Consider the following 15,199-nt stretch of genomic DNA (forward strand, 5'->3'; position numbering starts at 1 on the left):
CCCAAAACATCAGTAATGTCAAGGTTGAGAAGCCCTGCTTTAAAGCAGACAACTGCTATTTGCCTTGTGGTCAATAGGTATTTTCAGGTACATTCAGAAGGAGCTCAAATGCCTGTGGATAAGGATAAAAAGCCATTATCAATAAAATCTAAGAGGCCCAGAAATAGAGTGACAGGGAAATCTCTAAAAATGCAGAACTGGGGCTAGGAGGTAGGCCATGGGCTATTAAGGATTCAGCTTCTCCATTTGTTCTTTGGGGGTGTAATTAGGAGTGATCTTTGTTATAAAGTCGTGTTTTTCTGAATTTTTTTTACAATGAGGTTGTATTATAATCCAAAAAAATTTAAGCTGTTAGATTTGGTTTCCCAAATCACGTGTTGACTAAACGTTCATTAGTACCGGCTACGAACCAGGCACTGATTTGCCTTTCCACATACAAATCTCATTTCCTGCTTATACTATGGGATGTGGGAATCGTCAGAAGGTTGGAGACTTTCCTTCCAGTGAAGAAACACTTGGTAATGTAAAGATATTTGAATTGTCAGGAACCAAGAGTCCTAACTCTGATGCCAATACCTGTCACTTGAACGAGTCAGTGAGCTGCTGTCTACTCATCTCCAGCGTGCAGGGATGAAAACAGATGCATCCAAAAGCCCTTCCCACCTGCGGGACCCTCCCTACATCACTTAGAGAAGAGCAGGGACATGGTTCCAGGCCAGGGGCAGCACCTCTGAAACAGACTCCCAAGGCCTGCCTCCCAAGTGTCCCCCTAGGTGACCCTGACAGAGTCACCTACAAAGGTGGCAGATGCTCTTTTTCCCTTGTTTCAGTATCTTACGGAGGCATGGATTTCTGTTATTCCATGTATTACAATTATTTACACACATAATTTTTAGATCCTCATTTGTCCCAAATTTGGCTATTGGGAATCTCTCTTATGTAAATTGGTTGATTATTGTGGTCTCATGTAATTTTGTATCCTTTATCTGTGCTTTCTTTGTGTTTTTTTCATGCTATGGCAGTCTTCATAATGACCCTACACATAAGTCTATATACCAGTTTCCAAGAGTTGGACATTTAGATGTGAAATTTTTCTTTAGCTTTTATTTCTGACTACATCAGTGAGCACTAATGCACCATCGTCATGGGGTAATTAAGACAAAGATTTTTTTATTTTATTGTAAAATATACATAGCATGAAATGTACCATTTTAGCCATTTTTAAGTGCACAGTTCTGTGGCATTAAGTACTTTTACATTGTTGTGTAACCATCACCATCATCCATCTCCAGACCTTTTTCATCTTCCCAAACTGAAACCCTATACCCATTAAACAGTAATTCCCCACTTCGTCTCCACCCTGGCACCCACCCTTCTACTCTCTGTCTCTGTGACTGTGACTGCTCTAGGGACCTCATAGGTGGAATTAGTTGATATATATTCTCTATGACTGACCTAGTTCACTTAGCATGATGTCTACAAGGTCTATCATAAAGATTTCTCCATGTGTTTTCTCATAAGAATTTTTATAGGTTTGATTCTGAAAAGACAAAGTATTTTTAAAGTATAGTTGTAAAACATAGGGAGACCTACTCAAACTACTCCAAAAAATAGAGGAGGGAATACTTCCAAATTCATTCTACTAGGCCAGTATTACCCTGATATCAAAACCAGACAAAGACACATCAAAAAAAGAAAACTACAAGCCAATATCTCTGATGAATGTTGATGCAAAAATCCTGAACAAAATACTAGCAAACCGAATTCAACAATACATTAAAAAGATCATTCATCATGACCAAATGAGATTTATCTCTGGGATGCAAGGATGGTTCAACATTTGTAATGTATCACAACAAATCAATGTGATACATTATCGAAACAGAATGAAGGATAAAAATCATATCATTTCAATTGATGCTGAAAAGGCATTTGACAAAATTCAACATCCCTTCATGATAAAAAAAAAAAAACCCTTTAAAAAGGGATAAAAGGAACATACCTCAGCATAATAAAAGCCATATGCAACACACCCCCAGATAGTATCATTACTAAATGGGAAAAACCTGAAAGCCTTTCCCCTAAGATCTGGATGCTCACTTTCACTACTTAACACAGCCTAGCTATGACGAGAAAGAAAAAGCATCCCAATTGGAATGGAAGAAGTCAAATTATCCTCGTTTGCAGATGATATGATCTTATACTTGAAAAAAACCTGAAGAGTCTACACACAAAAGCACTTATAGAACTGATAAATTCAGTAAAGTTACAGGATACAAAATCAACATACAAAAATCAGTAGTGGTTCTATATGCCAACAGTGAGCAATCTGAAAAAGAAACTTTAAAAAGTGATCTCATTTACAATAGCCACACATAAAATTAAATACCTAGGAATTAACCAAAGAAGTGTAAGATCCCTATAATGAAAACTATAAAACACTGATGAAGAATTGAAAAAGACACCAAAAATGGAAAAATATTCCATGTTCATGGATTAGAAGAAAAAATATTGTTAAAATGTCCATACTACCCAAAACAATCTACAGATTCAATGCAATCCCTATCCAAATACCAACAACATTCTTAAATTTTAAAAAATCCTAAAATTTATATGGAATGACAAAAGATGCAGAATAGCTGAAGCTATCCTCAACAAAAAGAACAAGACATTACCTGACTTCAAATTATATGACAAAGCTATAGTAACCAAAACAGCATGACACTGGCATAAAAACAACTACATAGACCAATGGAACAGAATAGAGAACCCAGAAACAAACCCACACACTTGTGAATTCATTTTCAAAAAAGGTGCTGAGAACATATGCTGGGGAAGACAGTATCTTAAATGGTGCTGGGAAAACTGGATATCAATATGCAGAAGAATGAAACTAGACCACTGTCTCTTGCCATACACAAAAATCAAATTAAAATGTATTTAAGACTTAAATCTAAGACCTCAAACTACGAAACTACTACAAGAAAACATTGAGGAAAGTCTCCAGGACATTGGTCTGGGCAAAAATTTCTTGAGCAGTACCCCAAAACCATAGGTAACCAAAGCAAACATGGAAAGATGGGATCAAATCAAGTTAAAAAGCTTCTGCAGAGCAAAGGAAACAATCAGCCAAGTGAAGAGACAACCCACAGAATGGAAGAAAATATTTGCAAACTACCCATCTGACAAGGGATTGATAACCAGAATATATAAGGATCTCAAACAACTCTATAGGAAAAAATCTTATTATCTGATCAAAAAATGAGCAAAATATTTGAATAGACATTTCTCAAAACACACACAAATGGCAAACAGGCATATGAAAAGGTGCCCAACATCACTGATCATCAGAGAAATGCAAATCAAAACTACAATGAGATGTCATCTCACCCCAGTTAAAATGGCTTTTATCTAAAAAGCAGTAACAAATGCCAGTGAGGATTTTGAGAAAAAGGAACCCTCATACACTGTTGATGGGAATGTAAATTAGTGCACCCACTATGGACAGTAGTTTGGAGGTTCCTCAAAAAACTAAAAGTAAAGCTACCATATGATCCAGCAATCCCACTGCTGGGTATCTACCCAAAAGAAAGGAAGTCAGTATATCAAAGAGATGTCTGCACTCCCATGCTAGTTGCAGCACTGTTCACAATCGCCAAGATTTGGAAGCAACCCAAGTGTCCATCAACAGATGAATGGATAAAGAAAATGTGGTACATATACACAATGGAGTACTATTCAGCCATAAAAAGAATGAGATCCTGTCATTTGCAACAACATGGATGGAACTGGAGATTATTATGTTAAGTGAAATAAGTCAGGCACAGAAAGACAAACATCTCATGTTCTCACTCATTTGTGGGAACTAAAAGTTAGAACAAACTCATGGACATAGAGACTTGAAGGATAGTTACCAGAGGCTGGGAAGTGTAGTGGGGAGACTGAAGGTGGGGAGGTGGGGATGGTTAATGGGTACAAAAAAAAATAGAATAGGACATACTATTTGATCACACAACAGCGTGACTATAGTCAATAACAACTGTACATTTTAAAACAAGTAGAAGTGTAACTGGATTGTTTGTAACACATAGGATAAATGCTGGAGGGGATGGCTACCCCATTCTCCATGAGGTGATTATTTCACATTGCATGCCTGCATCAAAACATCTCATGTACCCCACCAATATATACACCTACTATGTACCCACAAAAGTTAGAAAAAAAATAGAGCTAACTAGGTTGGAGGGGAATCTGAGGACTGAGCTAGTTTCAGTGGGCACTGACTGAACCCTGAGAAGGCCACCTGTGTCCCAGGGCCCTGTTCAAATGCCACTTGCCTTCCCAAGTTATGGTCTGAATGTGGGTGTCCCCATAAAATTTACATGTTGGGACCTAATACCCAATGTGATGGTATTAAGAAGTGGAGCCTTTTGGAGGTTGGAGGGAGTGTCCTAGTCCTTTCCACCCCTTCTGCCGTGGAGGACGTGGCAACAAGGCACCATTTGGAAGCAGAGAGGTCTGGCCAGACGCTGCATCTGCGGCACCTTGATTTGGCACATCCCAGCCTCCGCTGCAGTAGCATGGTGAGCTACTATCCAGTCTAAGGTATTTCGTTACAGCAGCTGTGTCCAACTGCGACATCAAGCTTACCTGACCCCACCCCCCACAGCATTGAGTAGCTCCGACAATGTTCCCTGACCTTTGCACACACCTGCCCTTATTCCATTTCTCACCGTTGCTTGCTTATGACTTTATCAAGCTAGCTTCAAATGTGGCTTCTTAAATGTAAAAAGTAAATGGTGGAATTATGCAGCCATTAAAAATTATGTTTATAAAAGTAGTTCTAAAGCAGCAAGGGAAAGCTAATGCCAAGAGCAGAAACACACCTGCAGGTCCAGTTTGTATTTTTGTACAGCCAGTAAGGTTCCTGCTATGTAAAAACAGTGCATGTAAAGAAAAAGATGGAAAGAAACTACTTTGAAAATATTACATTATCTGCTTATATACCTCCTTCTGTCCTTGGCTCGATTCTCTCCTTCCTCTGTACTCGCTTTCTCTTCCTAGGTAATTACAGTGACAGCCTTGATTTCAGGACACCCTTTCCTTGACTCTTTTTTTTTTTGAGCCGGAGTCTCACTCTGTCACCCAAGCTGGAGTGCAGTGGCACCATCTCAGCTCACTGCAACCTCCGCCTCCGGGGTTCAAGGGAGTCTCCTGCCTCAGCCTCCCAAGTAGCTGGGATTAGAGGCACTCGCCATCATGCCCTGCTAATTTTTGTATTTTTAGTAAATACGGGGGTTCCACCATGTTGGCCAGGGTGGTCTTGAACTCCTGACCTCGGGTGATCCGCCCGCTTTGACCTCCCAAAATGCTGAGATTACAGGCATGAGCCACCGCACCCGGCCTTCTTGACTCTTAAATGTGGGTCTGTATAGCAGCCTTTCTTGGTAGCTGCACATCCGCGCCTGTCCTTGTCCACTCACTGTCCCCACCTGGAGGTCCCATGGCCGCCCTGAAACCAACTGTGTCCTGTGTGTGCTCACTCTCTGAGTCATTCCCTTCCTGTTCTGGAGCCCAGGGAGAGGCACCACCCTCCAGTCAGCAGCCAGAAACCTGGGCATCTTCCCCTGCCCTGCTTCCCGTCTATCTCCAAGCCAGTGGGTCTACCATGGAAACATTTCTGTAATTCACCCATGTTGCTCTATCTCTGCCCCTCCTTGCTAGTTCACACCACTGTCATCTCTGGCCTGAATCATTGTGATACCCCTTTAATTATCTCTGCATCCAAACTAGTCCTCTATAAATAACCCATTCCCGCCACTCTAGGCAGCCAGAGGAGCTGCGACAAATGCAAACCAAGTGTCGCTCTGGTGACTCTCAGGAGCAAAGCTGGTTTGGTTTCTTTTGGTGGGGGTGGTGAGAGTTTTGTTTGTTTGTTTGTTTTGGGGTTTTTTTTTAGAGAAAGGGTTTTGCTCTGTCACCCAGGCTGGAGTGCAGTGACAATCACAGCTCACTGCAGCCCTGACCTCCCTCAACTGATTGTCCCACCTCAGCCTCCCCAAGTAGGTGGGGCTACAGGCACCCACCGCCAAGCCTGGCTAATTTTTTCAATTTTTTTGTAGACATGGGGTCTCAGCACGTTGGCCAGGCTGGTCTTGAACTCCTGGCCTCAAGTAGTCCTCCTGCCTCGACCTCCCAAAGTGCTAGGATTACAGGTGTGAGCCACCATGCCCGGCTCAAAGCCAGGATTAACATGGAGCACCGGCAGGTGTCATCTCTCCTGACATCCTGGGCTCCTTCCGTTCTCTGAACCCAGCCTGCTGTGTCCCACCTGGTGGCCTGTCTGCTTGCTGTCCCTTCAGCTAACTGTGGTCCTTCTCAGGCTAAGACATGGCATCTCCTTGAGGCCCAGACCAATCAGTGCAGTCATCACTAGCCCTTATTAGATGGAGTGGATTGAATTTCACCTGACGTTGCTCCCCTCTCTGTCTAAGGAAGGGTCTGGTGAGTGGGATCACGTCAGCAGAGCTCATTTCCTGCATGTGATTCTACTACTACCTTCTACTACTACCCTCCCTTTACCGCTGCACTCAGTCATTATTTCTATCTGATAGCTTAAAAAAAACAAAATAGAAAACCACTACTCATACCTGACCCCCCAAAATATACTGGTAGCTGCTCAGAGGACAGAATTAATTTTAAAAATAATCTAAATTAGGCAAACAGAGCGTGAGAAGCCGATAATCACGCAACTCCCTCCAGAAAAGGAAGTGGAGCAGGCGGGCGCCCAGCTGCAAGCCCTCAGAAGGCTCAGCCTCCAGCGCCAGGACCTGATTTTATTACTAACAAGGTGCGGTCCTCATTCTTTGGGTCTGCCACATGCCTCACGGTAATTTTCCAGGCAAACTATATCACATGATACTGGCTTTACTGTCCAAGCAATAAGCGCAGAGTCTCTGGCAGTTTGGACTTCTCTGAGATTGCACTGCTGAGCACGTAGCTGCGGCGGTCACAGGAACTCACATGCCAAAGAACTGGGAAGAATGTTTTAAAAACCTGGAAAGAACCGGTTTCCTTTTCTGCAGCCTAACAAATACCTCCTTGAGGGAAGTAGGAAGCTTTCAGAACTCCCTCACTATCCAGAGGCTTATCATTGTGTGAAGGATCAGAGTTTGTCAAGGCAAAGAGAATCAAAACTATTTACTCAGGCTTGGAATTGATCAGGTGCTCGGGAGGCTCGGAGCAGGGGAGCGGCGGCTCCTGGACTTTAACCCCCGTGTTTGTGGAAGCAGTGACTATGATGATGATAGGAGAGCTGGCGCCCTCACGCGCTTGTCACCTGCTGCGGGCATCAGTGAGCGCTTGCTGCCGCCTCTGAGATAAGGAGGGCTCTGTAGAAACTCACCTGGGCCACCTCCACTCGGAAGCCCTCCTTTCTTTCCTGCTAGACAAGAAGCGCCTGGAGCAGCCGAGGGAACACACCTGGTGGCAACGCCTGGTTCCCACTTTCGAACCTCAGGATTGAGAGAGGGATGAACGCGGGAAGTCTGAGGACACACTCTGTCCTGCCCTTAACTGTGACTGTCCGAGCCACCTAGGGGGACACGTGGGAGGCAGTCCCAGGGAGGCTGTACTAGAGAGGTGCTGCCCCCAACAGAAGCCGGGAGTCCCTGCCTGGGCCCAAGCTCCTGCCATTCTCTAAGTGATGCAGAGAGGGCCCCACCGCCGGGAGGGGCTTTCTGGCACAGCTGTTCTCGCCCCTGCACTCTGAAGAAGAGTAGATACCTAGATACAGTAAGTAAAGGAAAAGAACTGAGCATTTCTCTCCCTTTTTAGGAGGACCATCAATTTATCTTGGTCAAAGAAGGGAATTTCCTCATCTACCAATTTTCTGCTCATAGATGTATAGAAACGGTAGAATTTTTTAAAGACGGCCAGGCGTGATGGCTCACGCCTGTATTCCCAGCACTCTGGGAGGCCAAAGCGGGCAGATCACCTGAGGTCAGGAGTTCAAGACCAGCCTGGCCAACATGGCAAAACCCCACCTCTACTAAAAATACAAAAATTAGCCAGATGCGGTGGTGGGCACCTGCAATCCCAGCTACTTGGGAGGCTGAGGCAGGGGGAATTGGTTGAACCCAGGAGGCGGAGGTTGCAGTGAACCAAGATTGCGCCACTGCACTCCAGTCTGGGGAACAGAGCAAGACTCTGTCTCGAAAATGAAAAAGAATTTTTAAAAGACCATTTACAACCACCAGTGGAATCGTTATTTCTGCAGGAGTCATTAATTGATGCTTAAACAATTAGGCAAAAGTTCATTTCAAGGTGCCATCGTATGAGCCCACAGATTACTTGTGAATTACAAAGGGAAAAAATGTACTTTTACATTGCAGAGTTCCTGCCCTGCCACACATGCATGTGGAGGATAGTAGTGCAGTTGTACAACAGTGCCTTTGTACTGCTCTAATTTTTTTTTTTTTTCTGAGGCTGAGTCTCCCTCTGTCATCCAGGCTGGAACGTAATGGTGTGATCTTGACTCACTGCAACCTCCGCCTCCCGGGTTCAAGCAATTCTCCTGCCTCAGCCTCCCAAGCAGCTAGGATTACAGGGGCCCGCCACCATGCCTGGCTAATTTTTGTGTTCTTAGTAGAGACAGGGTGTCATCATGTTGGCCAGGCTGGTCTCAAACTTCTGACCTCAGGTGATCTGCTCACCTTGGCCTCCCAAAGTGCTAAGACTACAGGCATGAGCCACCACACCCGGCCTGTACCACTCTAATTTAGTGATTCAACTGAACCTCCTGACACGGGTGCCTCCTCGTGCCCCCTCTGAAACATGCGTGCACTTATCTATGTGCCATGCAAATGGAGTACGTGAGCACCCAGGGACCCTCGATAGATTACCTGGTGCCAAGCGTATTCTTCCCTGCCCCTGTCTTGGAAAAGCAGCCCTACGAATGACAGCCTCCTGACAACTGGTCAGTTTTCCAACAGGATGGTGACTCCCCTCCTTGCCTTCTGCTTTCTTGAATCAAGGGCCTGAAGAGGCCAAGCAAGGTGGCTGATGCCTGTAATCCCAGTGCTTTGGGAAGCCGAAGCAGGAGGATCACTTGAGGCCAGGAGCTTGAAACCAGCCTGGGCAACATAGCAAGATTCTGACTCTACGAAAACATTTAAAACTTCGCCAGGCATGGTGGCGCATGCCTGTAGTCCCAGCTACTTGGGAGGCTGAGGCAGGGGGAATGGCTCAAGCTTAGGGGTTCAAGGCTGCAGTGAGCTATGATTACACCACTGCACTCCAGGCTGGGTAGCAGAGTGAGACCCTGTCTCTAAAAAATAAAAAAAATTAATAAAAAAGAGCTGAAGAGACCAAGCAGCAGCCAGGGCTTAAAGCTTTGAGGGGCTCTTGTGCCTCTGGGTGGAAGCATTTCACTGTTATAGTCATTTCCATTATAGAGGGTAAAGTCTTCACTGTTTCCTTCCTACATACAATTTATTTATATTTGTTTGTTCCTGAACTGGAGTCGTAAAGCACCCAATTATTGTTAGACGGTTTATATTTAATGTGATTATCAACATGGCTGGGTTTAAATCCATTATCTTGCCATTGGTCTCTTATTTGTTCAATCTGTTCTTCATTCCTTTTTTTCCCTCTTTTGAATTGAGTACTTTTTATGATTTTATTTTACCTCCAATAAAACCTCCCTTTTCCCTCTTTGCTATATGTATTTAACTTATCATCGTCTATTTTTAAATAATAGTGCCACCTCATACACAGCTTATGAACCTTACAATATGTTACTTCCATTTTCCCCTCTTGTACCTTATTGTTGTCATATATTTTATTCTACATATACTATAAACTCAAAAATACACTGTTAATATTTTTGCTTTAAACAGTTAATTTTTTTTTTTTTTTGAGATGGAGTCTTGCTTTGTTGCCCAGGCTGGAGTGCAGTGGCGCAATCTCGGCTCACTGCAAGCTCCACCTCCCGGGTTCATGCCATTCTCCTGCCTCAGCCTCCCGAGTAGCTGGGACTACAGGTGCTCGCCACTACACCTGGCTAATGTTTTGTATTTTTTATTAGAGACGGGGTTTCACCGTGTTAGCCAGGATGGTCTCCATCTTGTCTCCATCTCCTGACCTTGTGATCCGCCCGCCTCGGCCTCCCAAAGTGCTGGGATTACAGGTATGAGCCACTGCGCCTGGCCACAGTTAATTATCTTTTAAAGAGTATTTTCAATTATAAAAAAGTCTTTTACATTTACTGATGTGTTTATCATTTCGAATCCTTGTGTACATCCAAATTTCCCTCTAGTGCCATTTTCCTTCTACCTGAGGAGTGTCCTGTAACATTTCTTGGAATGTAGGTTCCCTAGTTAATTAATTCTCTCAGTTTCTGTTTGTCTGAAAAGCTGATTTTGAAAGAAATTTTATGCAGGATAGAATTCTGGATTGATTGCTTTCTTTTTCTTTTCAGTACTTTTTTTGAGACAGGGTCTGGCTCTGGCACCCAAGCTGCAGTGCAGTGGTGTGATCATGGCTCACTGCAGCCTCAAGCTCCCGGGCTCAAGTAATTCTCTCACCTCAGCCTCCCAAGTAGCTAGGACCACAGGCCCATGCCACCACACCTGGCTAATCTTTTTTAAAATTATTTTTAGCAGACAAGAGGTCTTGCTATGTTGCCCAGGCTGGTCTCAAACTCCTGATCCTCCCGTCTCGGCCTCCCAAATTGCTGGGATTACAGGCGTGAGCCTCCACACCTGGCCTCCTTTCAGTACTTTAAGGATGTCACTCTATTGTCTCCTGGCTTGCATAGTTTCTGATGACAAATCTGCCATCACTCTTACCTTGCTCGTTTGTAAGCAATGGGTTTTTTTTTCCCTGACCTGCTTTTTTTTTTTTTTTTTGAGACGGAGTCTCGCTCTGTCACCCAGGCTGGAGTGCAGCAGTGCAATCTCCACTCACTGCAAGCTCTGCCTCCTGGGTTCACGCCATTCTCCTGCCTCAGCCTCCCAAGTAGCTGGGATTACAGGTGCCCACCACCACACCCGGCTAATTTTTTGTATTTTCAGTAGAGACAGGGTTTCACCACGTTAGCCAAGATGGTCTCAATCTCCAGACCTCATGATACGCCCACTTTGGCCTCCCAAAGTGCTGGGATTACAGGCGTGAGCCACTGTGCCTGGCCTTCCCTGACCTGCTTTAAAGATTTTCTCTTTGTCACTAGTTTCCGGCAATTTGATTATCATGTGCCTTAATATAGTTTTCTCCATGCACCTTCTGCTTTGGTTTGGTTAAGGTTCTTGGATCTATGGCTATAAAGTTTTCATTAAATGTGAAAAAATGTTGGCCCTATTTCTTCAAATATTCTTCCTTTCTCCCTCCTTTATTTCTGAAACTGCAGAGATATACATGTTAAACCACTTGATCTTGTCCACAGATCACTGGATTCTCTGTTAATTTGTTTTCTCAATGGGCTTCATTTTTGGACAGTTGCTATTGCTATGTCTTCAAGCTCACTGATGTCTTCTTCTGCAGCATCTCTCTGCTGTTAATCCCATGTCATGTATTTTTTATTCCAGATATTATATTTTTATCTCTAGTAAATTCCATTTGGATCTTTCTTATATTATTAATTTCTCTCCTCATTTATGTTTCTATTTTTCCCTACCTTCATGAATATATGGAATATATTTGTAATAATTGTTTTAAAGTCTTTGTCTGTTAATACCATCATGTATTTTATTTCTGGGTCTTTTCTGTTGATTGATATTTCTCTTGGTGATGTTCATATTTTCCTGTTTCTTTGCGTGCCTGGTAGTTTTTGGTTAGATGTTGGCATTGTAAAATTTTACATTGCTGGGTGCTGGATTTTGTTGTATTCTTTTAAATAGTGTTCAGCTTTTTTTCTGGCATGTAGTTCAGTAATTTGAAATCAATTTGATCCTTTCAAGGTTTGCTTTTAAATTTTATAGAGTGGGATCAGAGCAGTCTCTTTGGGTAGAACTAATTTTGTCTTCCTACCAAGTGGATCCTGCCAGATGCCCTGTATTAAGATATCTTCACACTCTGGCTGGTGATTATATGATCTATTTCCAGCCCTGTGAGTCCCAGGAATTGTTTGGCCTGCCTGTGGAGTTTTGGTGGTTATGATCACTATCCTCACATAGTTTTCTCACATGAGTGCATACAATGTTCAGCAAAGTCTCTCTAGGGGACTCTTCAGCAGACCTCCAAAACAAGCAATTTCTCTCTCTCTCTCTCTGAAACATAGACACACACACCAGACACAGACACAAACACAAACACACACAAACACACACACACACACACACACACACACACACACAAACCCTCCACTATGGTCTGAATGTCCATGTCCTGCCCAAATTCATACGTTGAAATCTTAATTCCTAAGGTGATAGTATTAAGAGGTGGGGCCTTTGGGAGGTGATTAGGTCATGAATGGGATTAGTGCCCTTATAAAAGAGGCCCAAGGGAGCTTGTCTGCTCCTTCCTCCATGTGAGGATGCAGCACACAGTTGCCATCTATAAGGAATGGAACCTCCCTAGACACTGAATCTGCTGCTACCTTGATCTTGGACTTCCCATCCTCTAGAACTGTGAGAAATAAATGTTTATTGTTTATAAGCTACATAGTTTATGGTATTTTTGTTATAACAGTCTGAATGGACTGTGTCTCTCTGTCTGTCTCTGTCTCCCTCTCTCTCTCTCTCTCTCTCTGTAGCTCCCTTCACTCCCACACTTTGCCCTTCAAACTCTAGCCACCTTGGCCTCCCCAAACTCTGATCAGTCTCCTCCATTCAGTGAGACCACTGAGATCTCTTTGGTTTCCCCTCCCTTTCCTGGGCTTAGGAACTGCCTCAGACAGTAATGCGGAGCCCTCATGGGTCTCATCTTGTTTGTTTCTTTTCTCCAGTGATCAAAGTCTTGCACTGCCTGACATCTAGTGTCTGAATATATTTTTCATATATTGGGTCTGGCTTTCTCTTTATCTAAGGATAAGAGAAGGTGTAAACTGCCGTCTGTTACACCATCATGGCTGGAAGTAGAACACTCATGATTTATTTTTATTTTATTTATTTTGTTTTTGAGACAGAGTCTTGCTCTGTCGCCCAGGTTGGAGTGCAGTGGTGTGATCTTGGCTCACTGCAAACTCTGCCTTCCAAGTTTAAGCAATTCTTCTACCTCAGCCTCCTGAGTAGCTGGTATTATAAGAGTTCACCACCACGTTCAGCTAATTTTTGTATTTTTAGTAGAGACGGGGTTTCACCATGTTAGCCAGGCTGGTCTCAAACTTTGACCTCCAGTGATCTGCCTGCCTCAGCCTCCTAAAGTGCTGGGATTACAGGCGTGAGCCCAGCCTGATTTATTTTTAAAATCTAGGGCAAGGGTAGTTTTCCCATTCACAGAGAACATCTTAACAGACATTTCTCAAAATTTGTTCTAATTCCCAAGCATGTGTCAGCAGTCTCTGTAGTAGATCTTACAGCTTTTCTATCCTTTGGTTGTCAGCTTTTCTGAACCCCTTCCATGGCTCATGCTTTCCTGTCTCTGTAAAACCAGACATCACTATGTGATTCACTTTGGCCAGAAAAACATAGCTGGGGAGATGTGTATGGTTCCAGGTGGAAGCATGTCATTGCGATGTTCATCCCTCTAGCTGTCCTCCCACTTCCCATGGTGATGATGGGACTAAGCGTTGGCATAAAGGGGCCGAAGAGTTGCAGCAGCTTAGAAGGCAGAGCCAGCACACAGAGGAGAGACGGCCTGGATGGCCGCTCAGACCTGTAGCAGAATGTGCTCAAGCAAGAAATCAACTCCTACTATGTTGGGCCATTGAGACTTGGAGTTGCGTGTTATGCAGCAGGAACTATTCCTGCCTGTCCTGACTGGTCTTGTCTCTCTTTCTTTTTTGAGCCAGAGTGTGTGCTCACTCTGCCTCTAAACACATGTCTAAAAATGTATTGGTGTAATGAAGCAGGAGTGTTTGAAGATGTGCCATATAGAAAACTATTCATCCACTCTAAAATGCAGAGGAAGAGGAAGCAAAGCAAAACATGAATTTGCAAATGCAAACAAAACAAATGATTTTTGTGAGATTGAATTATTTTGTTGATGTTTAAATCACTTCCAGATGGATCAATTGGTTGCAACTGAGAAGAGATTATTCTTCCCTTGCCACACATCTACACAGAGGGTAGCAAAGTCATTAGCATAAATGGGAGGTATATAGCCACAACAGGAGAGGAATTGACCGCTGGTGAATTAAAATTTTTCTTTGAGGAGCTCCCAGCTCCTAATCCTCTTCTTTTGCATGATATTAACTCTGCATTTCCTAATGTCATTGGGAATTTATTTGTAGTTAAGATTTATATTCCAACCACCTTTAAGGGGTACTATTACAAGTACAAGCTTCTAAAATAGGAATCTTTTCTTTCTTTCTTTTCTTTTTTCTTTTTTTTAGATGGGGGTCTCACTTTGTCACCCAGTCTGGAGTGCAGTGGTGTAATCTTGGCTCATTGAAGCCTTGACCTCCCAGGCTCAAGGACCCTCCCGCCTCAGACCCTGAGTAGCTGGGATTACAGGCGCACCGCACCGCACCCAGCTAATGTTTGTATTTTTTGTAGACGGGGTTTCGCCATTGTTACTCAGGCAGGTCTCAAATCGCTGGGCTTAAGCAATCCACCCTCCTCAGCCTCCCAAAGTGCTGGGATTACAGGTGTGATCCATCACACCTGGCCTTAAAATAGGAATTTGTCACCTGTGGTCCAGATAATTCTGGGGGGTTGGGGGAAGGTGTACCAATGAACCATGTGAGACTTTAGGCAAATTGTTCAAGTGCATATTTTACATTTTTTCTGGGGAAAGGATTTGTACCTGTCATCAGATTCTTAAAGATCTGGGTGACTCAATAAAGGTTAGGAGCCACTGCCTTAAAGACAAAGTCAGGCCCGGTGCGGTGGCTCATGCCTGTAATCCCAGCACTCTGGGAGGCCGAGGTGGGTGGATCACTTGAGGCCAGGAGTTTGAGACCAGTCTGGCCAACATGGTGAAGCCCCGTCTCTATTAAAAATAAAAAAATTTAAAAAAAAACCAAACGGGCATCGTGGTGTGTGCCTGTAATCCCAGCTACACGGCAGGCTGAGGCAGGAGAATCACTTGAACCTGGGAG

Source organism: Homo sapiens, chromosome 6 (assembly GCF_000001405.40).
Source record: "Homo sapiens chromosome 6, GRCh38.p14 Primary Assembly".
Classification (NCBI taxonomy): Eukaryota; Metazoa; Chordata; class Mammalia; order Primates; family Hominidae; genus Homo; species Homo sapiens.